We start from the raw sequence: 26602 nt of genomic DNA, 5'->3' as shown, positions 1-26602 counted from the left end.
ATAAGTCAAGTTAGCTGCACTCTAGGAGGGTCGAAAGTTAGCTTCCAGTGTGATGGTCAGGTGAGACGCAATGGTGAGATCAAACCAAAATGCATGAAACAGAAGAAGAAACTTTATCACTTACAGACCCAGAGAGGTTAGGAGGGCTGACGAAAAGTCTGGAGGCAGCAGGGAGCTCAACCATCGGGTGGTGAGTGAGAGAGAGGCGCTGTGGGATGACGCCTTTATTAAGGCCCATGAGCCTTAGCAAGTGCGTTTTCCCAAGGGAGTTGTGGATTGGCTAATTTAAGGAAAGCACGTGAGAAGAGGGAAACTTATTTGAATGACTGGTGTTGACCACTAGGTTTTATCGAGGTTAGCAGCTGTGGAGGTTTTGGGTGAACAGAATGAGGAACGAGTGGGCTCACTAGTATACAACCACATAGGGAGGGGACGTTTTAACTGGGCCAAGGGTGGTGCAGTACCACTGGGTTTGAAACAACTTAGGGCTAAAAATGGATGCGGAGGCAGCAATGATATTAAAGTTATAACAGAAACACAGTCAAACACATGGTTCACTGAGATTCTAGGTTAAAAGCAAGTCAATGCTTCCAAGAATCACCTGTTTTAGTAGTGAGATCTGAGGGGAAACACCTTCAAGGCAAACCAGCAGTTGCATACAGAGAAAAAGGAGGCTTAGAAGAGGGGCTTTCATTAGAGATGAAGATGTGGGAGCCAAGGAGTATGGGTGCTAGTGATGACCACAGGCACAAGGAGAGTGTGTAACAGTAAGAAAAGGACCAAAGATGGAACCCTAGGCAACACTGGCATTGAAAAGGAAAGCTGAAGAACCAGGGAAAGAGAAAGAATAGGGAAAATTAACCTGCCCAAAGTATCACAGCCATAAGAATTGCAGATATAGGCCAGGCACGGTGGCTTACGCCTGTAATCCCAGCACTTTGGGAGGCCAAGGCGGGTGGATTACCTGAGGTCAGGAGTTCAAGACCAGCCTGGCCAACATGGTGAAACCTTGTCTCTACCAAAAGTACAAAAATTAGCCGGGTGTAGTGGCGGGCTTCTATAATTCCAGCTACTCAGGAGGCGGAAGCAGGAGAATCCCTTGAACCCAAAAGACAGAAGTTGCAGTGAGCTGAGATTGTGCCACTGCACCTGGGCAACAAGAGTGAGACTCTGTCTCAAAAAAAAAAAAAAAAAAAAAAAATGCAGATATACTGTTTGGGAGTACTTGCAAGTATATTTTATTCCATTCCATTGTCTACCAAATGAAAGCAGAAACCATAGTCTTGAAATCTACCAATAATAGCCTTCAAATGCTTGTCTGGGGAAAAAAATTCAGCAGTCTCCTATCTATCTTCAAAAACACAGGAAAGGCCACTGTCATTAACATAACCTCAAATACAAAGGAATATTAGATTATATCAATGATACCATGGTTATTATGATACGACTAAAGTAACTGGCAGTGGCAGAATGTCTATATAAATTATTAATAGTTGCTATCTTAACTCTGATTTTAAAGTAAAAGATTTTATGTTCACTTCAGGAATGACTGAGTCTTCAGAAAACAATATTTTTAGGAATAAGTTTCTTCCACTCTGCTGTCTTAAAAGTATAAAACTTTTGTTCAGTGTTTTTTATTTGCCCCACAGATAAATTCATCTCTATATCCTATATAACAAAAGAATCACTAGCTATATCTATGGATTAGCTGATAAATGAAATCACGTGATCTCTGCCCTGCGGAAATGTGAGACCTGCCTACTCTGAGAAAGAAGGCTTGTGGGAATCAGTTCAAGAGGTCACTGTAGGCTCTGCTTTCTTTTAGCAGTTGGGGATGAGATACCATGAAACACAAAGACATAACATAAATAAAAATGATAGCGCCTCCTTAATCCAAATAGTTTCTGATAAGTCTTCAGCCAATGAAAATGTCGTGGGGAAAAATACACTATTTTACATCAGATTTTTAAATAGAAAATAGGAGTAGGCTGTGTATCTTGTATGAGAAAGGAATGAACAGATGTAAAACAGGCAACCATATGAAAAGCCCATTGGAGAGAACTGGATGATTAATACTGTACAAACAGGTTGGGACAGCATGATTGATCTCCATCTCAGAATGAAAACCTATGATGCAGAAAATGAGGTTAAAATGAAAAATGAAGGAATCCTGACAAACAGCAGAATAATGGATAATCTGTGTTTAAAGTAAGGACATAAATTAAAATGTAGAACTGAACTATTCTTTAAAGGAATTCAAGAATCTACAGACAAGTCTTGGTGAGTAAGCAGACGTGAAATGCTTCCTTAGAGAACTTGGAATTTTTCTCTAGCACAAGACAAACCATAGCTCTTGAATCAAATGACCCACTGTATTTCTTAGTAAGATGATGATGCTTTACTAGGAAAAACGACAAAAAATGTACAGAGAGACCAAAGGCAAGGAATGGAAGCCACCTAGATTTTTCTTTGTGGTAGATGCAGAGGAATAATTTAGGGTTCCCAGGAAAATAGTTGTGCTCAGATGAAATTATTTGCAGAAATTAAATAAAAACAAACTAGAACCAAATGATGTTTGATAATATTCCAATAACATTATTAATAATCAAAAGATCACCGGCCGGGCGCTGTGGCTCACGCCTGTAATCCCAGCACTTTAGGAGGCCAGGTGGGCAAATCACTTAAGGTCAGGAGTTCGAGACCAGCCTGGCCAAAATGGTGAAACCCCGTCTCTACTAAAAAAGATGAAAATTGGCCAGGCGCGGTGGCTCACGTCTGTAATCCCAGCACTTTGGGAGGCCAAGGCGGGTGGATCACAAGGTCAGGGGATAGAGACCATCCTGGCCAACATGGTGAAACACCGTCTCTACTAAAAATACAAAAATAAGCTGGGCGTGGTGGCAGTCACCTGTAGTCCCAGCTACTCAGGAGGCTGAGGCAGGAGAATCACTTGAACCCAGGAGGTGGAGGTTGCAGCGAGCTGAGATTGCACCACTGCACTCCAGCCTGGTGACAGAGCGAGTCTGTCTAAAACAAAACAAAGCAAAACAAAAACACAAAAATTAGCCAGGCGTGGTCTTGCGTGCCTGTAATCCCAGCTACTTGGGAGGCTGAGGCGCGAGAGTCACTTGAACCCAGGAGGCGGAGGTTGCAGTGAGCCGAGATCGCATCATTGCACTCCAGCCTGGATGACAAATTGAGACCCTGTCTCAAAAAAAAAAAAAAAAAAAAAAAAAATCACCTACCAGCTGCCAGGCAGGGTGGTAGGTATGACTTTCCTTTCTACAGATGGAGAAACAGGCTTAGAGTGGACAGTCAATGAAGACAACTGTCAGAGAATAGGATTAATTACTATATGGGTCAGACTTCTGATGGCCTAAAGGGCACAGTGTGCTTCATAATCCTACAGTATATCTTAAAGGGAAGGAGTGTTTTCCTACCCTTAGAAGAATAAGTATCTTCATTTCCCTATTCCCATTTCTCAAGATTAAGACCATTAGCTTTCTGGAAAAAGTTATTAAAAGGCTACAGTTTCATTCTGTTAACACTTTCTGTTAGCACAAACCTTTTTTAAAAAAAATAAGAGCAGCATCAGGTAGATCTTTTCTTTATTTACTTAAATTTTGTGGCTATTATATTTCACTTTAATTTTTTGTAATATAAAATTTTATTGAAGTATATATACAGAAAGTACACACATAAAGGATACAGTTCAACGAATTTTCACAAAATGAACACACATATGTATAAGCTTTCAGATAAAAAAGAAAAATAGAACACAACCAGATCCCCTGAAGTTCCCTTGTGCCCATTCGCTGTCACTAATCTCTCAAGGGTAACAGTCACCTTGACTCCTAACACAATTGTCTTAGTCTGTTTTCTGTTTCTATAACATAATACAACAGACAGGATAACTTATAAAGAAAAGAAATGTACTTCTTACAGTTTTGGAGGTTGGGAAGTCCAAGAGTATGGCATCAGCATCTGGCGAGGGTCAGCCCGTGACAGGAGGGCAAGAACAAGGGAGCCAAAGAGAGCTCGCCTTTATAACAAAGCCACTCCCACACTAACAAACTCACTCCTGTGACAGTGACATTAATCCATTTATGAGGGCAGAGCCTTCAATAATCCGTTAATCCATTCATGAGGGCAAAGGGAATAACTTTCTAACACATCAACTTTAGGGGAACACATTTAAATCAAAGTGACAATAAATTAGTTGTGTCTGTTACTGAACCTCATATAAGTGCAGTTGCACAGATTTACATATTACTATATTGAGCTTCTTTCATTTGATGATCTCTGTATTTATGAGGATTTATGGATATGGTTATAGTTTGTTCATTTTCATTGTTATATGGTATTCCACAATTTACCTATCCTACCATTAATAGATATGTGTTGTTGTTGTTTTCAATTTTTGACAGTTAGGAAAAATGCTGCTATGAATACTTCTATGTCTTTTTGGCAGATATGTGGGAGTCATTTTGCAATCATTCAGATACTTTTGAGGACTTTGAATGGAACTTAAAAGCATACAGTTTGTCTTTTCAATGTGCATTCCTCCTGTGTTATGTACCTAGACAATATATCTTGCACATGGTCAAATGATAAATCGAGGAGTGGAATTATTTTTTTTAATTTTAATTTTAATTTTGAGTTCTGAGGTTCATGTGCAGGATGTGCAGGTTTGTTACACAGGTAAACATGTGCCATGGTGATTTGCTGCACCTATCAACCCATCACCTAGGTATTAAGCCCGACATGCATTAGCTATTTTTCCTAATACACTCCCTCCCCCAACTCGACCCCCCAACAGGCCCCAGTGAGTGTTGTTTCCCTCCCTGTGTTCATGTGATCTCATTTTTCAGCTCCTACTTAAAAGTGAGAACATGTGTTGTGGCTTTCTGTTCCTGTGTTAGTTTGCTTCCAGCTTCATCCATGTCCATGCGAAGAACATGATCTTATTCCTTTTTATAGCTGCATAGTATTAGGAGTGTAATTATTAATATATACTCTGATCAACAACGTAGGAAGGTTTTTTATCATGAATTCAATTTATTTAGGAGTGTTTAGGTATTTCATTTGTTTTTGAGTCAGTTTTGTCAAGTTATAGACACACTCCTAGGAAATTATAATCGTAATTATGACAAGGCTGGCCATAATTGATGGAGCTGAGTGATAAGGTAGAGGTGTTCATTATTTCACCCTCTTCATTTTTGTATAAGTTTGAAATTGTTCATAACAGAATTTTTTAAGGTTCCCAGCAATGAGAACCAAGACTTACATATATTTTATAAGTATACTTTTGATCTACTTAATAGTTAATTTTAAAAATTAAAAAGTGGGCTGGGCATGGTGGCTCATGCCTGTAATCCCAGCATTTTGGAAGGCCAAGGTGGGCAGATCAGTTGAGGTCAGGAGTTTGAGATCAAGCTGGCCAACATGGTGAAACCCCGTCTCTATTAAAAATACAAATATTAGCCAGGTGTGGTGGTGTGCACCTGTAGTCCCAGCTACTCAGGAGGCTGAGGCAGGAGGATCACTTGAACCTGGGAGGATGAGGTTGCAGTGAGCCGACATCATGCCACTGCACTCCAGCTTGGGCAACAGAGTGAGACTCTGTCTCAAAAAAAAAAAAAAAAGATTAAAAAGTGAATTCAGGAGCCAGGTGAGGTGGCTCATACCTGGAATCCTAGCACTTTGGGACACCAGGGCAGGAGGATTGCTTGAGGCCAGGAGTTCCAGACCAGCCTGGGTAACATAGCAAGACCCTGTCTCTACAAAAAATACAAAAATCACATGCCTGTAGTCCTAGCTACTTGGAAGGATTAGGCAGGAGGATCACCCCAGGAGTTCAAGGCTGTATTGAGCTATGATCATGCTCAATGACTACACCCCAGCCTGGGCAATACAGCAAGATCCTGTCTCAAGTAATAAATACATACATACATACACACATAAACTCAGCATTGACAATATAAACTTGATACAACTTCTTAGATAATTTGGATACTTCCCATATCTATGTTTCCAGGGAAATACTTGGCAATTTTACCTTTGAAGATATTTCAAATACTTTTTAGAATGAAGTGAATATGAAGAAATTATTTATGCCAATTGCTAAAACATCATCTAGCAAAGAATTTTAACAGCATGAAAAATGTCAGAATCTCCCATCTTCTTGCCAAGACCAAATTCTTAAGTCCTTTAATGCAAACTCGGCCTCTTCTGAAAATAGACACTAACACTCACAGCAATTCCATGTACAATTTCCTGTCTCGATTTCCCTGCTACATACCCACTACAATGCATGTCACTCCCTTCAGAACCGGGACCTCACTGTATTACCTTTATATTCGTGATCCTGCTAGAGGACCTGGCCCACAGCTTACTGTCCATAAATGGAAAGGTTAAGTATTACATTATGCCAGCTCCCACCTTCTTCACTGGCTTATGCGGAGACTTAAAGGAGATGATGAAAGTAAAGCCTTGTAAATTGGATGTCTAATTGTGCTTACATCTCTGCCCCACGTAGAAAGCAGACAGTTCTCTTCTTTTGATTTTTCTTTTTTTTTCTTTTTCTTTTTTAACTTTCCTATGGTGCTGAAGTTCTTATCTTTTGAAAGAAGTTTCTTTGAGTTGAGGAGGAGGCTCCTTCCCTCACCCAGTCCACCACCACGGGCCGATGGAGAGGCTCTCTGCTTTCTTTCTGTCTCTTTACTCTCGGCTAGTTGGGTCTGCCCAGAATGGAATAAAGAGGCTGAGGTCAAAAGAGCACATGAAAAGCCCGGGCTTGCTGCCACTCATGCCACGGCTGTCTCTGCAGGGACATGTTACTCAGATTATTTTGGCATGAACTGTCACCATGAGGAGAGTGGTGGGAACGCATGGGCAGGTGCTATATCATTACTAAAGGGCATAAAATAATGGGGATTATTCTCTGTGGCCTTATTCAATTTAAGGTACAGCCATACCTTGAAGATATTGTGGGTTTGGTTCCAGACCACCACAATGAAGCGAATACTGCAATAAAGTGAGTCACACAAATTATTTGGTTTCCCAAGCATATAAAAGTTATGTTTATACTATACTGTAGTCGAAGTGTGCAATAACATTATATTTAAAAAAAAAAACAAGGTACACACCTTAATTATCAAATACTTTATTGCCAAGAAATGTTAAAGATCATCTGAACCTTCATCGAGTTGTATTCTTTTTGCTGATGGAGGGTCTTGCCTTGATGTTGATGGCTGCTGACTGATGGAGATGGTGACTGCTGAAGCTTGTAGTGGCTGTGCAATTTCTTAAAATAAGACAAAAATGAAGTTTGCTGCATCTCTTGACTCTTCCTTTCAAAGATTTATCTCAGCAGCTAATGCTGTTTGATGGCATTTTACCCACAGCAGAACTTCTTTCAAAATTGGCCGAGTGCAGTGGCTCACGCCTGTAATCCCAGCACTTTGGGAGGCCAAGGCGGCGGATCACTTGAGGTCAGGGGTTCAGGACCAGCCTGGCCAACATGGTGAAACCCTGTCTCTACTAAAAATACAAAAATTATCAGGCTTGGTGGCGGTCACCTGTAATCCCAGCTACTCGGGAGGCTGAGGCAGGAGAATCACTTGAACCCGGGAGGTGGAGGTTGCAGCGAGCAAAGATCGTGCCACTGCACTCCAGCATGGGCAACAGAGCGAGACTCCATCTCAAAAAAAAAAAAAAAATTGGAGTCAATCCCCTCAAACTGGCCACTGCTTTATCAATTCAGTTTATGGAATGTTCTAAAACCTTTGTTATCACTTTAACAATGTTCATAGCATCTTCACCAGGAGTAGATTCCATCCCAAGAAACCACTTTATTTGTTCATCCCTAAAAAGCAACTCGCCATCCATTCAAGTTTTATTATGAGAGTGCAACAATTCAATCATATCTACAGTTTCCACTTCTAATTCTAGTTCTATTGCTATTTCCGCCCCATCTGCAGGGACTGCCTCCAAGACTCTGAAATCTTGAACCCTTCAGAGTCATCCATGAGGACTGGAATCAACTTCTTCCAAACTCCTGTTAATGTGGATATTTTTACCTCCTCCTATGAATCATGAATGTTTTTTTTTTTTTTTTTTTTTTTGAGATGGAGTCTCACTCCATCAACCAGGCTGGAGTGCAATGGCATGATCTTGGCTCACTGCAACCTCTGCCTCCTGAGTTCAAGCGATTTTCTTGCCTCAGCCTCCCAAGTAGCTGGGATTACAGGCATCCACTACCACCCCCCAGCTAATTTATTTTATTTTTTATTTTATTTTTTGTATTTTTAGTAGAGAGAGGGTTTCACTATGTTGGCCAGGCTGGTCTTGCTCTCCTGACCTCAAGTGATCTGCCCGCCTCAGCCTCCCAAAACGTTGGGATTACAGGCCTGAGCCACTGCACCCGGCTGATTCATGAATATTCTTAATGGCATTTAGAATGGTGAATCCTTTCCAGAAGGTTTTCAATTTACTTGCCAGATCCATTGGAAGAATCACTACCTATGGGAGCTATATCCTTGTGAAATGTTTTTTTGTTTTTTTTTTTTTTTTTTTTTGAGACAGAGTCTTGCTGTGTTACCAGGCTGGAGTGCAGTGGCATGATCTCGGCTCACTGCAATCTCTGCCTCCCAGATTCAAGTGATTCTTCTGCCTCAGCCTCCCAAGTAGTTGGGACTACAGGTGCATGCCACCATGCCCAGCTAATTTTTGTATTTTTAGTAGAGACAGGGTTTCACCATGTTGGCCAGGATGGTCTCGAAATGTATTTCTTAAATAATAAGACTTGAAAGTCAAAATTACTCCTTGATCCATGGATGCTATGTCAGCAGGCATGAAAACATTTATATCCTTATATATCTCTGTCAGAGCTCTCAGGTGTGCGGGTGCATTGTCAATAATCAGTCATCTTTTGAGAAAGTTATTTTTTGCTAAGCAGTGGGTCTCAACTATGGGCTTAAAATATTTAGTAAAGCATGCTGCAAACAGATGTGCTGTCATCCAGGCTTTGTTGTTCTGTTTATAGAGGACAGGCAGAGCAGATTTAGCATAATTCTTAAGGTCCCTAGGATTTTTGGAATGATGAATAAGCATTAGCCCCTAACAAGAGAGTCAAGCTTTGAAACCAGGCATTGACTTCTCTTCTCTAGATGGCATCTTCTTCCAATAGAAGGCTGTTCTATCTACATTGAAAATCTGTTGTTTAGTGTAGCCACCTTCAACAGTGATCTTAGTTAGATCTTCTGGATAATTTGCTGCAGCTTCTACATCAGCACTTCCTGCTGCAGCTTGCACTTTTATGTTATGGAGATGGCTTATTTCCTTAAACCTCTTGAACCATCTTCTGCTAGCTTCACACTTTTGTTCTGCAACTTTCTTTTTTTTGTTGTTTTTTGATTTTTGGTTTTTTTTTGAGACGGAGTCTCGCACTCTCGCCCAGGCTGGAGTGCAAGTGGCACCATCTTGGCTCACTGCATGCTCTGCCTCCTGGGTTCACGCCATTCTCCTGCCTCAGCCTCCCGAGTAGCTGAGACTACAGGCACCCGCCACCACGCCTGGCTAATTTTTTATATTTTTAGTAGAGATGGGGTTTCACCATGTTAGCCAGGATGGTCTCGATCTCCTGACCTTGTGATCCTCCTGCCTCAGCCTCCCAAAGTGCTGGGATTACAGGTGTGAGTCACCGTGCCCGGCACTTCAGCAGCTTCCTCACCTCCCTCAGCCATCATAGAATTGAAGAGAGTTAGGGCCAGCTGTGGATTAGGCTTTGGCTTAAGAGAATGTTGTGGCTGTTTTGATCTTCCATCCAGACCACTCAAACTTTCTCCATATCAGCAATAAGGCTGTTTCACTTTCTTATCATTTGTGTATTCACTGGAGTAGCACTTTTGATTTCTTTCAAGAACTTTTTCTTTGCATTCACAACTTGGCTAACTCTTTGGTGCAAGACGCCTGGCTTTCAGACTATCACACATTTTTTTGAGACTGAGACTTGCTCTGTCGCCAGGCTGGAGTACAGTGGCGCCATCTCAGCTCGCTGCAACCTCGCCTTCTGGGTTGAAGTGATTCCCCTGCTTCGCCTCCCAAGCAGCTGGGATTACAGGCATGTGCCACCACGCCCAGCTAATTTTTTGTATTTTAGTAGAGATGGGGTTTCACCATGTTGGCCAAGACAGTCTCGATCTCCTGACCTTGTGATCTGTCTGCCTTGGCCTCCCAAAGTGCTGGGATTACAGGTGTGAGACACTGCCCCCTGCCCCTATCACAAATTTTGACATGCCTTCCTCACTAAGCTTAATTATGTCTTGTTTTGATTTGAAGTGAGATATGTGACTCTTCCTTTAACCTGAACACTTAAAGGCTATTGCAGGATTATTAATTGGCCTAATTCCAATATTGTTATATCTCATGGAATGAGGAAACTGGAGGAGAGAAAGTGAGTCAGGGGAAAGGCTGGTTGATGGAGCAGTCAGAACACACACAACACATTAAGTTCGCCATCTTATGTGGGTGTGGCTTGTGGTACCCCAAAACAATTGTAATAATAACATCAAAAATCACTGATCGCAGGTAACCATAACAGACATAATAATAATGAAAAAGTTTGAAATATTTCAAGAATTACCAAATGTGAAACAGAGACAAGAAGTGAATACATGCTGTTGAAAAATGATGTCAATAGACTTGCTTGAAGTAGGATTGCCACAAACATTCACTTAAAAAAAAAAAAAAGGCCAGGTGCAGTGGCTCACACCTGTAATCCTAGCACTTTGGGAGGCCAATGCAGGTGGATCTCTTGAGGCAACCTGGCCAACATGGTGAAACTCCGTCTCTATTAAAAATACAAAAATTAGCCAGGTGTGGTGGCAGGCCCTGTAGTCCCAGCTACTTGGGAGGCCGAGGCAGGGGAATCGCTTGAACCCAGGAGGCAGAGGTTGTAGTGAGCTGAGATTGCACCAGTGTACTTCAGCCTAGGTGATAGAGCGAGACTCTGTCCCCTGCCATAAAAAAAAAATGCAGCACCTATGAAATGCAATAAAGTGAAATACAGTTAAGCAAGGAATGCCTGTATCTTCTTCCATGTTCAATCTTTACATAGAAATACTACAAATCTCTACATCTCAACCTCTCTGATCCCTTTGTTTTCTTTTGTTCTTTGACAGGTCTCTTTCTGTCACCCAGGCTAGAGTGCAGTGGCATGATCGTGGCTCACTGCAGCCTCGATCTCCCAGACTTAAGCAATCCTCCCACCTCAGCCTCCCAAGTAGGGACCACAAGCATGTACCACCACACCTGGCTCATTTTTTAATTTTTTGTAGAGACAATTTCGCTCTATGTTGCCCAGGCTGGTCTTGAACTCCTAGCTTCAAGCAATCCTCCCTCCTTGGCTTCCCAAAGAGCTAGGATCACAAGTGTGAGCCACTGCACTCAGCCTTTGCTCCTAATGAGATAAGAGAAACTTGAGAGAGAACTTTTTATTTCTCCTTCCTTTGCCCTTCCATCTTCAAGACAAAATAAAAGAGTGAATATTATATTTCACAGGGATATGGAATTATTGCAGTTAAATTTGAGGTTGGTATTTAACATTCCAGTTTGTAATTTAAATTGATTTCTCTGTGCAGCTCAAGAAACAAAAGAGATTTTTGGAATGAATTCCAATGGAGTTCAATAACCAGCCATACTGGGAAGATTTTTTTTAAAGCCCCAAGTAAGAAGTAGTCCATACATACTGTTTTTGAGCTGTTCAGATGAATTTTTATGACTTCTCCTTTGTCTGGTAGATATTTGTTTTTCTATGTGGTATAAAGTGGATTAACTCAAGAGTTTTACACCCAGGAGCAGCTAAAGGATAATTTAACATTTGAATATACTGACGTCCTTAGGGCCACTTCTCTCCTTCCCACCACTGTGACAGCTCTACTTTTCATTTCCTCCTGTTGTGATTCTGGCCACATTCTCTCATCCCACCCTGAATACACGTGCACAATTTTGCCAACTCTAGATCATAGGAGCTGATCATATATCCTTGTAGCTCAGAAATGTTATGATAGCTTCCACAGAGGACCTCCTCAGCCCCGCTTTAGCCCCAAGATCAATTTACTCTTTAAGCCAAAAATCTCAGTTTATCAGGAGAATCATGCACCAGATACACTTTATAAAATGTACCTGGCTATCACATATATCTTACTTGAAGTGTGTCGTAGGGCCACATACATGTTGACAAGCTCTGTTTTCTTTCTCAACAGGTCATTAGTGTTTTCTGAAAAACTGGAGAGAGAAACAACCTCTCTTCCCACCCCTTTCCACCCATCTCTGTTCTCTAGGTCTACTTTGTCAGCTGAGTGCTGGCAGAGAATTGCTACTGGCTGTCTACACACATGGCAACCAGATCTGACCCATTTGTTTCTGTGCCTCTGAGATGGAGAGGAAGTAGGAGCTGTTCAAACTTAAGATTAGTTGCTTTGGTTCCCATTTCCAGTGTAAATTGGTTCATTTTTGTTTTCTTCTCTCACCCATTTTAGTTAGTGAACAGAAGGTCACACAATGAAGAAATTCATATGTCCTGAAATGGTATGTGTCTATGCAAATGTATGTATATTATATGTGTTGTTTAGGTAACTTAGAAAAAGCATACTTGAAAGATAAACCAGTAAGAACCTGGAACTGATGTCCTGTAACTTGTTTTCCTGTTGCATTAAACATTGACTACAATCACATACTTGTCAGTGGCCAACTGAATCCAAAAGCAAAACATGCATAGCGTAGGCTAATATAGTCCTTTCCCAGATTCCAGAGAACAGCTTGTGGTAGCTCTGTTTCATTAAAGGAAGGTTGGCTCTGTTGCAAGAATGGCTTGCTCATTCTGCTGATGAATTAGTTGTATTAATGTGCCAGAAACCAAACAACAATCTGGGGATGATTTCTATAAAACTTGGTGTTTCATTGAAATGTGATTAACACAACCAAGATTTTTTTTGCCCTTGCTACTGTGAAATAACTCAGAGTCAGAGATTGAGTTCATAAGGGCTAATCTTCTGTCCACATTTGAAGAAGTGTACCCATCGATTTTCCTTCCTTTGTGTATTAGTCTGTTTTGCATTGCTATAAAGAAATACCTGAAGATTGGGTAATTTATGAATAAAAGAGGTTTATTTTGGCTCACAGTTCTGCAGATTGTACAAGAAGCATAGTGCATACAGAAGCATAAAGCTAATGCTTCTATGACGGCCTCAGGAAGCTTACAATCATGACAGAAGGCAAAGGGGGTCACAGGTGTTTCACATGATGAGAGATGGAGCAATAGAGAGGGAGGGAGAGAGGTCCCAGACTTTTTAAACAACCAGCTCTCACGTGAACTAGCAGAGTGAGAACTTGCTCATCACCAAGGGGAGGGCACCAAGTCATTCATGAAGGATCCATCCCCATGACCCAAACACCAGGCTCCACCTCCAACACTGGTGATCACATTTCATTCCAGTTCAACACGAGAACTGGAAGGCATTAATATCCAAGCCATATCACTTTGGATACTAGTTTTTGAGAGAGCCATAAATAAGCCTCTTATTTTTTCAGTTTGAAGATTTGTTAGTGAGGATCAGAGTTTGGAATCTGCCACATCGGAGAGTAATCTAGGGATGCAGCATACTCAGGGATCAACAACTATGCACATTTTGTAACAAAATAGCTATAAGACAGATACTGACTTTTAAAGCTGTGCTGTGGCAAGTCAGAAGCTGTAAATATAGCCTTGTCTTTATACTTTGGGAATCAGTAGAGGATTGTGGTTAAATACTCACACATGGGCATCAGGATGACTCAGTTTTAACACTGCCTCTATCACTTTAGATTCTACTGGGAACTGAAGCTAGATGCTGGAGACTGCTCTATGTGTCAATTTCTCATCAACCAACCTCGCTAAGAAATTGAACAAGATAGTTTAACCCTTTTCCTGTTTAGAAAAAAAAAAGTGCGGCTCGCTGCCAGCACTCATTTAATTTTATATAAACATGCTCTTTGAGGCTGAAGCACATCTGACTGGTTTTCAATGTGAAAATAAAATATAAAAACTGTTCTTGGAGTTATTTCTAAACAGAACTAACAACAGAATTGTCTATTTTGGAAAAATCAGGTTCATCAAATGAATCTTTGGCCAACAACTGTTCGAGAATGATGCTAACATCCTGTGTAGGAATACTATGTTTTCTAGGATTTGACATTTTTAGCAATTTAGAATTACTGTATTTTGTATATGGAAATACCACTACTAAAAACAGAATGCTATAGCTGTAATCCCAGCACTCTGAGAGGCCAAGGCGGGCAGATCACTTGAGGTCAGGAGTTCGAGACCAGCCTGGCCAACATGGTGAAACCTCGTCTCTCCTGAAAATACAAACATTAGCCGGGTGCAGTGGCTCATGCCTGTAATCCCAGCACTTTGGGAGGCCAAGGCGGGTGGATCATTTGAGGTCAGGAGTTCGAGACCAGCCTGGCCAACATAGTGAAACTCTGTCTCTACTAAAAATACAAAAAATTAGCCGGCCTTGGTGGCGGGCACCTGTAATCCCAGCTACTCTGGAGGCTGAGGCACGAGAATCGTTTGAACCCGGGATACAAAGGTTGCAGTGAGCCAAGATCGCGCCACTGGGCAACAGAGTAAGACTCTGTCTCAAAACAAACAAACAAAAAAACGCAGAATGCTATAAATAGAATGATACGTTTTGTTTCCAAAGTTGATATACTAGAGTGATGTGAAAATAATAATAAAAGCAAGACATTTAGTGGCCAAGTTATCTCAGGGTAAATGCTGCTGCTCTTAGCACTGCTGGCAAGTATTCTCAGGGAAAAGGGGAAAGGGTTTTAAGTAAAGCTCCTAATTCAAAGTAAGTGCTCAACAAATGGTAGCTACTCCTACTAGCTGCCTAACTATTAAATGAATATAATAATTATACTTTAGGTGATAGTAAAGATTTTGCACTGAGTCAGAGGAAATAGTGAGAATTTATCTTATTTAAGTTAATGTTAATACACAAATTCATTTTCTCCATAATTCACACGCCTTATTCATTGCATTAGTAGATTGCATTTAAAAAAAAAAACACCACTTAGTGATCTGAAACAGCTGATGTACAGGAAGCTTTCTGAATCAAGCTGACTCAGAAGGTGGCAAAACAACTCAGTGTTTGGGTACAGAACATGATTTCTATTTTAAATATCTTAATCCTTTAGACTTCAATTTCTTTACCAGCCAGGATTTGAGATGGAAGGAGCAAGGAAATTCATCAAATTGCCCTTCCCTGATTCTCCATCAAGTGGTGGAGCCAGGGGTAAAAAGAAAAATTATTGATTCAGGTTGGGGCAAAAGTAATCCCGCTTTTTGGCATTACTTTTAATGTCAAAAAAACTGCGATTACTTTTGCCCCAACCTAACAGATAACCCCCAAATGTGTATTTAACTACTGTGCTATACTGCTTCCTACTTTAGGATAAAGACAGGCCTGTGCTAGAAGTTCCCAACCAGCAACACTCCAGAAGAGCAACATGGTACAGTGGTGAAAGGTGTGGCTTCTCAGAGCCTGCTGCCTGAGTAGGAATCCAGCTCTGCCACATGTGCTGCTGTGAAACCTTGGGGAAATCAATCTTTCTATGCCTGAGCTTCCTTATCCAGAAAAGGCGAATGGAAACAATACCTGCTTATAAGTTCACAGGAGGATTAAATGCCTTAATACATGTAAACTGCTTAGAATGGTGCCTGATTATAAGCGGTTGTTATCTACCTTATTGAGCATATGGAAAATATCCTAAGGTTTTAGGTTTTTTTCTTCATCTGTTTCTTATTAGATCTAAAGAAACTTGCCCATTTGCAACACATTTTTTTCTTTGTTTTAAAAATCTGGGGATGTACCTTTTATCTCATACATTGACTACTTCAAACACTGCTCATATATGTTTTGCTGGATTTTTTCTATTTCATAGGGATTTCCAGTGATTGAAGGAGATACTTCTAAATCAAGTTCTCTTTCCTTGAGGCCTATAAACGTTATTTATCTTTGGGGCAATGGTTCCAAAATCACTAAACTTAAAAAAAGAAAAAAGATTATAGGAACTGCTTTGTAAGCTGCAGAGAACTGTAAAATAGTAAGGCAAACTCTTACCCAGGGGAATTGCAGTTTATCGTGGAGCTAGGCCCAGCATTTCAGGCAAAAATTAAAGACAGTTAAAATTACCCCTGAAAATCCCTTAGAATACAGGACAGTTCTGTTTTTCAGTAAGTTCACGATAGTCACTTTTTTCTTCAGCGTTGGAAAAGATCACATTTCTTCCATTGAACACTTGATGATGTGATTGTCTTGTATGTAAGCATCTTTTGTATGAAAAAATATATACAAGATAAACCAAGCATTTTCTATATACCACCTCACTTACTCCTCATAATGACCTTATGAAGTATTATTATTATTATTATTTTGGAGACAGAGTCTCAATCTGTCGCCAGGTTGGAGTGCAGTGGCGCAATCTCGGCCCACTGCAACCTCCATCTCCTGGGTTCAAGGGATTCTCCTGCCTTAGCCTCCTGAGTAGCTGGGACTACAGGCACACGCCACCACACCCAGCTAATTTTTGTATTTTTAATAGAGACAGGGTTTCACCATGTTGGCCAGGATGGTCTCAATCTCCTGATCTCATGACCCGCCTACCTCAGCCTCCCAAAGTGCTGGGATTACAGGCGTGAGCCACCGTGCCCGGCCATGAAGTATTATTATTATTCCTCTTTTACCTTTTGAGAACTGAGGCAAAGTAAACTCCTTGCCAGTGATCACCAGCAGGCAAACTGTGGAGCAGAATCTTGTTTTCAATTCTCTTAGCCATCGAAGCCCCTACTTTCCCTCTACAGAGTGCTCCCGTGGCCTAGCATCACTGTTACATGGCATTGAGGGATACAAGTTGCCTTTTCCTCTGCTCAAGACTGCTTAGTATCTATTGGAGGAAACACTGAGTTCAGAGCTCCTCAACTTCAATTCAAGACAATACGAAGTAACTGGAGACAGTCCAGAGAAGACTAAGGAACTGATTTTTCTGAAAGAAGTCCCAAGAGGGATTCTGTTTAAGAGTGGAAAGATTTAGAGTGGAATAGAAGGCATTACTGGGTTTTAGGTCCATAAATAAGTGATGCAAGGAAGCTGAGGAAGAATCAGCGCTGGCAGCCTTCCCTGTTTGGTTGCAATCCTCCTTGAAGATGGGCTGGATGGGCGCCCTACAAAGACATCTTTCTATCTGGCGATTCTAGGAATCCACCCCCGGACATCACTAATAAATGTGGCAAAGTGAGAGAGATCAGATACACTCAGCTGATTCCTGGAAAGCCTGTATAAAGGGGGAACAGACATCACTGTCTTCCTCTCATTTAACGATGAGGAAATGAGACCCAGAGACACAATTCACAGGAAAAGTGACTGTTCAACAGGAATGTTTTCAGGCCAGGCAGCCCCAAAGGAGCTGCTTCACATGTGCAGGGTTCTAAGGACGCTACTGAGTGAGAGAGGATACCACTACCTACATGCCAAGTGTCCAGACCTCCCCTCCTGGCCTGGAGGAAGTGCAAGGAGGGTACTTAGTCACCCGAATCAGTGGGTTGGTGTGACGAGGGGGTTTGTCAGTTGTTTCTGATGGCTGGTGCCAGCTACCTGTGACCACCGGACAAGCCCATCTCCTCTATAGAAATAGGCTTGTGAAGGAGACCAATTACTCGAATTGCCTGGTCCATAATAAAGTCAGGATCCTTTCTTGTGGCCTTGCTCTCTCTAAAGAGTTCTTTGTCTTTCAATTGCTTTTATCGAATTATACATATAGTTCAAGATTAAAAAAGGAAAAAACAGAAGGCGTAAAAAGATAAATATCACTTCTAATATCAAAGATCATATATTTAATATATATAATTTTTCCTTAAGAAACTCATATATATAAAAGTCTATCATACAGATAATGGTAATAACAACAATAATGAAATAAACTATGTGCCAGTTGCTGTGCCAGTGCTTAATTTGCATCACCTTGCTTATAAAAGCCAACCTAGAGAGGAAAAGTCTGACACTTCCTCCAGGTCCAATCTAGTATGGCATCTTTAAGGGGTCAGACACTTTTTTTTTGCTTTTCTTGAAAAAAAAAAAGAAGCTAAATATCTAATGATGCTTAACATTTAAATCATCTTATCATCTTAATTATAGCCTCCGAGCTTGCGGTTAATATTAAAACCTAAGAAGAACCAATGCAAATTAACATGAGTGATAAGCCTCTGATCAGTAAGGCCCCTCTGGGCTCTAAGAATATGAAAATTCAAAAATTGCCCACCCCACTTAACCACCAGGCCAATGGTAAAATTAGCAGCCTGATCTCAGAACTGTTTCTAGAGCTTGTGTTTCAGCCACACTTTGTTTTGATGATCTTCTGTAAGATCTACTGTTCTTTTTAGTTCTGTAATTTTTAGTCTTGTAACTGTTGAGGGTTTTTGTCTTGTACCTGTTAAAGATGATACTGGTACAAATATTCTATAAACATTTATGAAAGTTATAACTTTAAAAAAGCCAACATGTCTAAACAAAAATGTTTTCAACTACAATTTCTTAATAGAATTGGGTTTGAAGCATACTATAATATGGAAAAATAATCAATAAAAATCTTAAAGTCCTTACAGAGGAATCCACCTTTTCATCTTCTTGTTTTCTCTTCACTTTTGTTGGTTTGTATTTCTATTTTTCAATGACTTCCCATTTCTCTACTAATTCTGAACATTAATTCTCCCCTCTAGAACTCATATATAATTTGTGATTCAAAAATCCCTTTAGGCTACTGAATTACTATTTTTTTTATTTTATTATTTAATATATTTTGAGACAGGATCTCGCTCTGTTGCCCAAGCTTAACTACAATGATGCAATCACAGCTCACTGCAGCCTCAACCTCCCAGGCTCAAGCCTCCCATCTCAGCCACCCAAGTAACTGGGACTACAGGCGCACACCACTGCACCCGACTAATTTTTGTGTGTTTTGTAGAGACACGGTTTTGCCGTGTTTCCTAGGCTGGTCTCAAACTTCTGAGTTCAAGCAAACCACCCACCTCAACCTCCCAGGGTGCCGGGATTGCAGACATGAGCCACTGGTGACCGGCCAGGCTACTAAATTTCAAAATGTGCTTTCTTAATGAAAACCTTAGCAACAAGCCAACTATTACTTATAAGGTAGAAAATTAGACATATTCCATTCACCACTCCCACATATTAAAGCAACTTCTACATCAGAGTGACTTCATATAGTAGTGTGCTTTACTGAACTGCATCTCAAAAGGTTTCCTATTCTCCTGACTAAATCTCCGGCTCAGGTCCTGCTGCCCTAAGGCCTGCTGGGCTCCTACCTACCTAAAAAACAATTGTCACTCTCAGTTCTGGAAGCAGCTCTGACAGCCTTGCCTCTGACGTGTGTGAAGAGGAGAGAAGCTCAAGGACTTTCTATGAGCAAGATTGCAGGAAGAGTAAGGAAGTGGATGGAGTCTTTACAGCAACAAGAAGTGCTTTGATCTATAGCTATGAAATGGACTTGATATTTTAATGAGGGAAAGAGTCAGCTTCTGAGACCAAAAAAGGAGGGGGGCAGATAGATGGACACTGAAAACAAAAGCAAAAGGGTTAGAAACAAATTTAGTCAGGAAGACACAAGACTGGTACATTGAATATGAAAAACATTGCAGAAAGAAATTAGAGAAGACCTAAATAAATGTTCATGTATTGGAAGACTTAAGATAGCAGTATTACCCAAAGTGTTTTACAGATCTTTATAATTCCTATTAAAATACTAATGACCCTTTTTAAGATGTGGAACAAATCATAACATTCATATGGATTGCAGGGGACCACAAATAGCCAAAACAATCTTGAAAAAGGAAAAAAAAGTTTGGAAGACTCATAATTCCTGATTTCAAAACTTACTAGAAAAAAAACAAAAAAATTACTAAGTAATCAAAACAGTGTGGTACTGGCATTAAGAATAGACATATAGGCTGGGCAATGCGGTGGCTCATGCCTTTAATACCAGCACTTTGGGAGCCTCAGGCGTATGGATCACCTGAGGTCAGGAGTTCAAGACCAGCCTGGCCAACATGGTGAAACCCCGTCTCTACTAAAAATACAAAAATTAGCCAGGCATGGTGGCACGTGCCTGTAATCCCAGCTACTCAGGAGGCTGAGGCAGGACAATCGCTTGGACCCAGGAGGCAGAGGTTGCAGTGAGCCAAGATCATGCCACCGCACTCCAGCCTGGGTGACAGAGTGAGACTGTGTCCCCCCCAAAAAAAAAAAGAATAGACATATAGATCAATATATGGAATAAAATTAAAATTGAGAGTCCAGAAATAACCCATATATCTATAGTCAGTTGATTTCAATAAGGGTGCCAATATCACTCCATAGGAAAAGAATAGACTTTTCAACAAATATTGCTGAGACAACTGGATATCTACGTGCAAAACAATGAAGTTGGGTATATATAAATATATAAATATAGATACAAAATGTATCCACAAGATATACACAAACTAACTCAAAATAGATCAATAAACTAAATATAATATTTTAAACCATAAACTTCTAAAACTCTTACAAAAAACATACGGATAAATCTTCATGACCTTGGATTTGGCGATGAATTATTAGATATGATCCCAAAAGAAAGTACAAGCAACAAAAGAAAAATAAATACATTAGAAATCAGCAAGATTAAAAAACTTTTGGGCATTATGGCCAGGTGCAGTGGCTCACGCCTGTAATCGTAGCACTTTGGAAGGCCAAGACGGGGGGATTGCCTCAGCTCAGGAGTTCAAGAACAGCCTGGGCAACACGGTGAAACCCCGTCTTTACTAAAATACAAAAAATCAGCTGGTGTGGTGGCATGCAACTGTAGTCCCAGCTAATCAGGAGGCTGAGGCAGGAGAACTGCTTCAACCCAGGAGGTGGAGGTTTTAGTGAGCCAAGATTGTGCCACTGCATTCCAGCCTGGGTGACAAAGTGAAACTCTGTCTCAAAAAACAAAACAAACAAAACAAAAAACTTTTGGATATCAAAGGACGCTATCAAGATAATGAAAAGACAACCCGCAGAAAGAGAGAGAACACTTGAAAGTTATATATCTTTTTTTTTTTTTTTTTTTTTTTTTGAGACAGAGTCTCACTTTGTTGCCCAGGCTGGAGTGAAATGGCATGATCTTGGTTCACTGCAAGCTCCGCTTCCTGGGTTCAAGCGATTCTCTTCCCTCAGCTGGGATTACAGGTGCCCGCCACCACGCCCAGCTAATTTTTGTATTTTTAGTAGAGATGGGGATCACCATGTTGGCCAGACTGGTCATGAACTCCTGACCTTGGGTGATCCTCCCACCTTGGCCTCCCAAAGTGCTGGTATTATAGGCGTGAGCCACCATCCCGGGCTGAAAGTCATATATCTGATAGAGGTTGTCTGGTATCCAAAATATACAAAGAACTCTTACAACTCTACAACAGAAAGACAAGCAACCCAACTGAAAAATTGGCAAAGGACTTAAACAGGCATTCCTCTAAAGATATGCAAATGCCCAACAATCACATGAAATGACATTCAACATCATGAGTCATTAGAGAGATGCAAATCAAAACAATGAGATACTACTTCACACCCACTAAAATAGCTATATTTTAAAAAAAGAAAATAATAAGTGTTGCCAAGAATGTGGAGAAATAAGAACACTCATACATTGTTAGTAGGACTGCAAAATGATACAGTTGTTATAGAAAACAGTTTGGTAGTTCCTTAAAAAAATAAACATGGAATTACCATATGACCCAGCAATTCTTCCCCTAGGTGTATAGCCAAAAGTATTCAAACAAAAACTTACACACAAATGTTAATAGCAGCACTATTCACAATAGTCAAATGGTGGAAATACCCAAATGTTCATCAACAGATAATGGATTAACAAACTATGGCATAATAAACAATGTAATATTATTTAGCCATAAAAAGGAAGAAGTTTCTACATGCTACAATGTGGATTAACCTCAAAAACATGATGCCAAGTGAAAGAAACCAGACATACAATGTCATATGTTGTATGATTCCATTTATATTAAATATCTAGAATAGGAAAATCCATAGAGACAAAAAGCAGGTCAGTGGTTCCCAGGGGAGAAAGGGGAATTGGAAAGTGAAGGCTTTATGTGTATGGAGTTTTCCTTTGGGGGGATGAAATGTTTTGAAGCTAGATAGAGGTGTTTGGTGCACAACACTCAATGTGCTAAATGTCACTGACTTGTACATTTTGAGATGGTTACTTTTATGTTATGGTTATTTTACATCAAATTTTTTTTTTAAAAGATGGTTGGCCGCTAATGTACAACCCACTGCAGTCGTTGGCAGTTATTTTATAAATGTATATTTGCTGACAGATATTTTCATAATCGTCATTATGAATCAGGTTATAAAATAAATTATAAATTAAATTTTAAAGATTATAAATGTTAAATTAAAACAAATTATAAATTTTTACAAAGCAAAAGAGCAAACCAAAGAAGAGAAAAAACTGAGAAAGAGAGGGAAGAGAGGCAGGAAACATGAGAGAAGAGAGAGAGAAGGAGGAGGAAGAAAAGGAAAATGCAAAACAAGAGAGGAGAACAGGAATATGAAAGAGAGTTAGAGCAAAAATTTTAAAGTTGGGTAATATCAGGTGTCACTGGGGGTTGTGAAGAAAGGAGAGTGCAGGAAGGAGCACTCTCCTACATACCTGGTAGGGATATAAATGGACACAGACACTCTGGAGCACGATTTGTCAGCAGCAAATAAAATGAAAATGAACATACTCAGAGCCCTACTTCTGAGCATATATTCTGGAGAAATCATCACATATGTGTCCAAGGAGCATGCACACAGCATTTGTTTGCTATATCAAATGCTAGAAATAGGCCCAGTGCGGTGGCTCATGCCTGTAATCTCAGCACTTTGGGAGGCCAAGGCGGGTGGATCACTTGAGGTCAGGAGTTCAAGACCAGGCTGGCCAACATGGTGAAACCCCATCTCTATTAAAAACACAAAAATTAGCCAGGTATGGTGGCAGGTGCCTATAATCCCAGTTACTTGGGAGGCTGAAGCAGGAGAATCGCTTAAACCCAGAAGGCAGAGGTTGCCGTGAGCCAAGATTGTACCACTACACTACTCCAGCCTCGGTGACACAATGAGACTCTGTCTCAAAAAAAAAAAAAAAAAACTACAAAAAACCTAAATAGTTAAGAGGATGGATGCACTGTGATATGTTTGTGAAAACAAGTAAAAATCTAAGCTGTTGGAACTTTAAAACATTTTGAGCCTTAAGGGAATCTGATTATGGGATCTGAGTCACATGTAAACAGGCAGCTATAAAGTAGGCAGCTGTGACCTTTTGTTTTTCTGATTAAGATTAGCCTTTGTCTTTACCTATGTTGTTTTGTAAAATGTTATAAATGACTAAAGGGTACCAGGGAAGACCCCTTCTCTCTTAACTGTTGATCTTCATTATAGAGTAACTTCCCTCTTTCCTCTCTCACACAGACTTCATGACTATCACATTGTCTAAGATGGAATGTTAAATACACTCTTTTAAATAGGAAAAGAAAACAAGCTGTATGGAAAAGAAAACAAATTGTAACTAATTAAATTGTTGTAAGTCATAAACCAGCCTTGTATAGAAAATGTTATAATCCTACTAAGTTTCTTTGTTTTCTGCTGGTATATGCAAGATCTTAACTTTGGAGCACTAACTCCATTCCTTTGGAGTCTGTGTTATCTGAATGGCATTCTCAGCTTTTCACTTGGAAAAATGCTTTTAAACTGGATTCTGATCCTTTCCATTATTTCAGGTAGACATACTAATAATATAATAGTATATAGTCATTTAAAAGAAGAATTTTATATATACTATATATGTGAAAAGATAAATGAACTTCAAGGTATTTTGTTGTCTGGAAAAGAAAGTTGGCAGATACAGTATAATGCCAAGCAATATATCTTAGTATATTGAATTATATTCATGTATTACTTATACAATAAAATGTATAATAACAAAAAATGAGGGATACAGAGAAAGAGAACTCTGCCATGATCAAGGCAAGAAAATACATGTGAAGGAGTAAGAAAGAGAAAAATCAGAATGCAGCAGGGCAGCAGTATTTAACACAAAATTTTCAAAGAGGGATCGCACTCTGTATATACTCTCAAAATTTGGGTCGGGGGGTGCATTTAGGAGTCCAGGCATGGATTAAGTAGATCCTCTGCTCAGGGTTTCACAAAACTGCAATTAAGGTGTCATTGGTTTGTGTTCTCATGTGGATGATTGACTGGGGAAAGATTTACTTCCAAGTTCACTTAGGCTGTTGACAGAATTCATTTCCTGGAGTTTGTAGGACTTCTTGCTGGCTGGCTATGGGCCGGAAGCTGCCTTTCAGCTCCTAGAGGCTGCCCATGGTTCCTCACCATGTGGACTTTCCAAGCATGGCCACTGCCTTCATCAGGCCAGACCGGACAGTCTCTAGAGAGAGTCTGTTCATAAGAGACAGTCTTTTATAATGTAATGTGGTCATGGGAGTGATATCCATCACCTTTGTTATATTTATTTTCAGAAGCAAGTCACAGGTCCCAACCCCTCTTAGGAGGAGGGGATCTAACACAGGTATGAACATGAACAGGTACTGGGAATCAGAAACTATTGGGGCCACTGAAGAATCTGTCACACAGGGATATCTTTGTTGCATTGAGACAGGAAAGCTATTTTAAGATGGTGTGGTGAAAAAGGATAAAAGCTCCTTACTCAAGCTCTAGCTTATCTAACTCTCAGTCAATAGGTAACAAAACACCCAAGAAGCTGTTAACTGCAAGCTCCTATTTCAGAGGGCTAGGGACTTCCCCAGATCCCCGCCTGTACAGTTAGACTTAAACTCCAACCTACATTTACCCCTTCCTCACTTTAATGCTAAAAATTACTCCTGGGGTGGAGATTTAAAATGCTAATGCTACATATGATGTATGAAAAAGCATATTGGGCCACTGTGCAAGCACTAGAAAAACTCCTCCTATAGGTGCCCTGATGTAACCCTCCCCTATAGAAAGACCCTATAAAACTGACCCACACACTATCCTCAGAGCAGTCCGTTCCTTTGCCTTTCTTGGTGCTGACTCCCTTGCGCACAAGCTGAATACACTTTCCTTTGCTGCTATGTTTGGTGATCTCTGTTAATCTCTATCATGGGAGATCATAAGAATCCAGGGCAACAGTAACAGCTTCTGAGTTTTTAAATTAAAAATAACAGTAATATAATCCTTAAATTTTTAAAATGTAGGACACTAAACAAGTAAAATCTAAATCCAGAGTACATCTGACCTCAAAGTTCATGGGCTTCTCACTTCCCTGGCCATAGTTTAAAGGTGTGTGTGTGTGTATATATATATATATACATATATATACACACACACACACACACACACACACACACACACACACTATGGACTACATCCAGTTCAAACTGGATTTCCAACATTTGAGTAAATCCCTGCAATGAAGAGAAAGAGCAAAGGCCTAGGAGTCAACTGGTTTCTAGCCATTTCTGGGGTGTAAGAATATGTGTATTTCTTGATCCTCAGTTCCAGCATCAATTAAAGGGAGTTAATTTTACCATCTATATTCACTGTTTTTGTGGTTACCCTGGGGCTCAAAAAAGACACTGATTGCTCAATAAATTCTTGTTCCTGGAGTCGCTGTTATCAATATGGTTATATAAAATGAAAGCGAACTAGAAGACAGGAGATGACATTCTTAAATTAGTGGCGTGTTTTACTGGTCGTCACCAACCCTCACATTTGTTTCATCACAAAAACAAAACAAAACTTTGCTAATTGCAAAGGAAGAAAAAATGCACCTGATCATTGCTTTAAAATTGTATGCATTTGGTTATTACTGATATGAGCTTTTTGTCATTTGTGTTTTTAAATTTTTTCCTTTTATGATTGTCTATGCCCTTTACTCATTTGCTTTTAGAGATGTTCATTGATTTGAATATAGATATTTTATTTTTCATGCAACAGTCCGTATTTATTGGTTGGGTGCGGTGGCTCACATCTGCAATCCTAAGCTTTAGGAGGCTGAGTCAGGAGGATGCCTGGGCCCAGGAGGTCGAGATTGCAGTGAGCCGTGATCACCACTGCACTCCAGCCTGGGTGACAGAGCGAGACACCATCTCTAAAAAAAAAAAAAATACTATATTTACCTCTCTCTCTCTCTCTCTCTGTCCAATACACCCTAATATTCCCGTCCCCACTATGGTGATTTACCTCTTCATTTTGTTTACGGTGTGTGTGGAGCGGGGGTGAGAGAGCAGGCGTGCAGTTGCCTTGGTTCAGCAGCCAGCCCATCGCTCCTGCCTAGTGTGACTGTGAATACTAGGTGTATGTTACAACCGGGAGCGGTGTACACTCGGGGAACCGCATCTTTGGAAACTTCGGTCCGTAGCGGCCGCTAGGATTCTCCGCAGCCCCGCACCCCGGTG

General features: G+C 40.3%; 1 annotated feature.

Moving 5' to 3' along the window:
- Positions 249–449: a silencer, noted in NCBI's record as "peak5993 fragment used in MPRA reporter construct". NCBI's record gives its function as "represses an SCP1 promoter by STARR-seq MPRAs in K562 erythroleukemia cells {active_cell/tissue: K562}" and the evidence as "EXISTENCE:reporter gene assay evidence [ECO:0000049][PMID:32103011]".

Source organism: Homo sapiens, chromosome 6, assembly GCF_000001405.40.
Source record: "Homo sapiens chromosome 6, GRCh38.p14 Primary Assembly".
Classification (NCBI taxonomy): Eukaryota; Metazoa; Chordata; class Mammalia; order Primates; family Hominidae; genus Homo; species Homo sapiens.
This window is presented reverse-complemented; position numbering and strand designations above follow the sequence as displayed.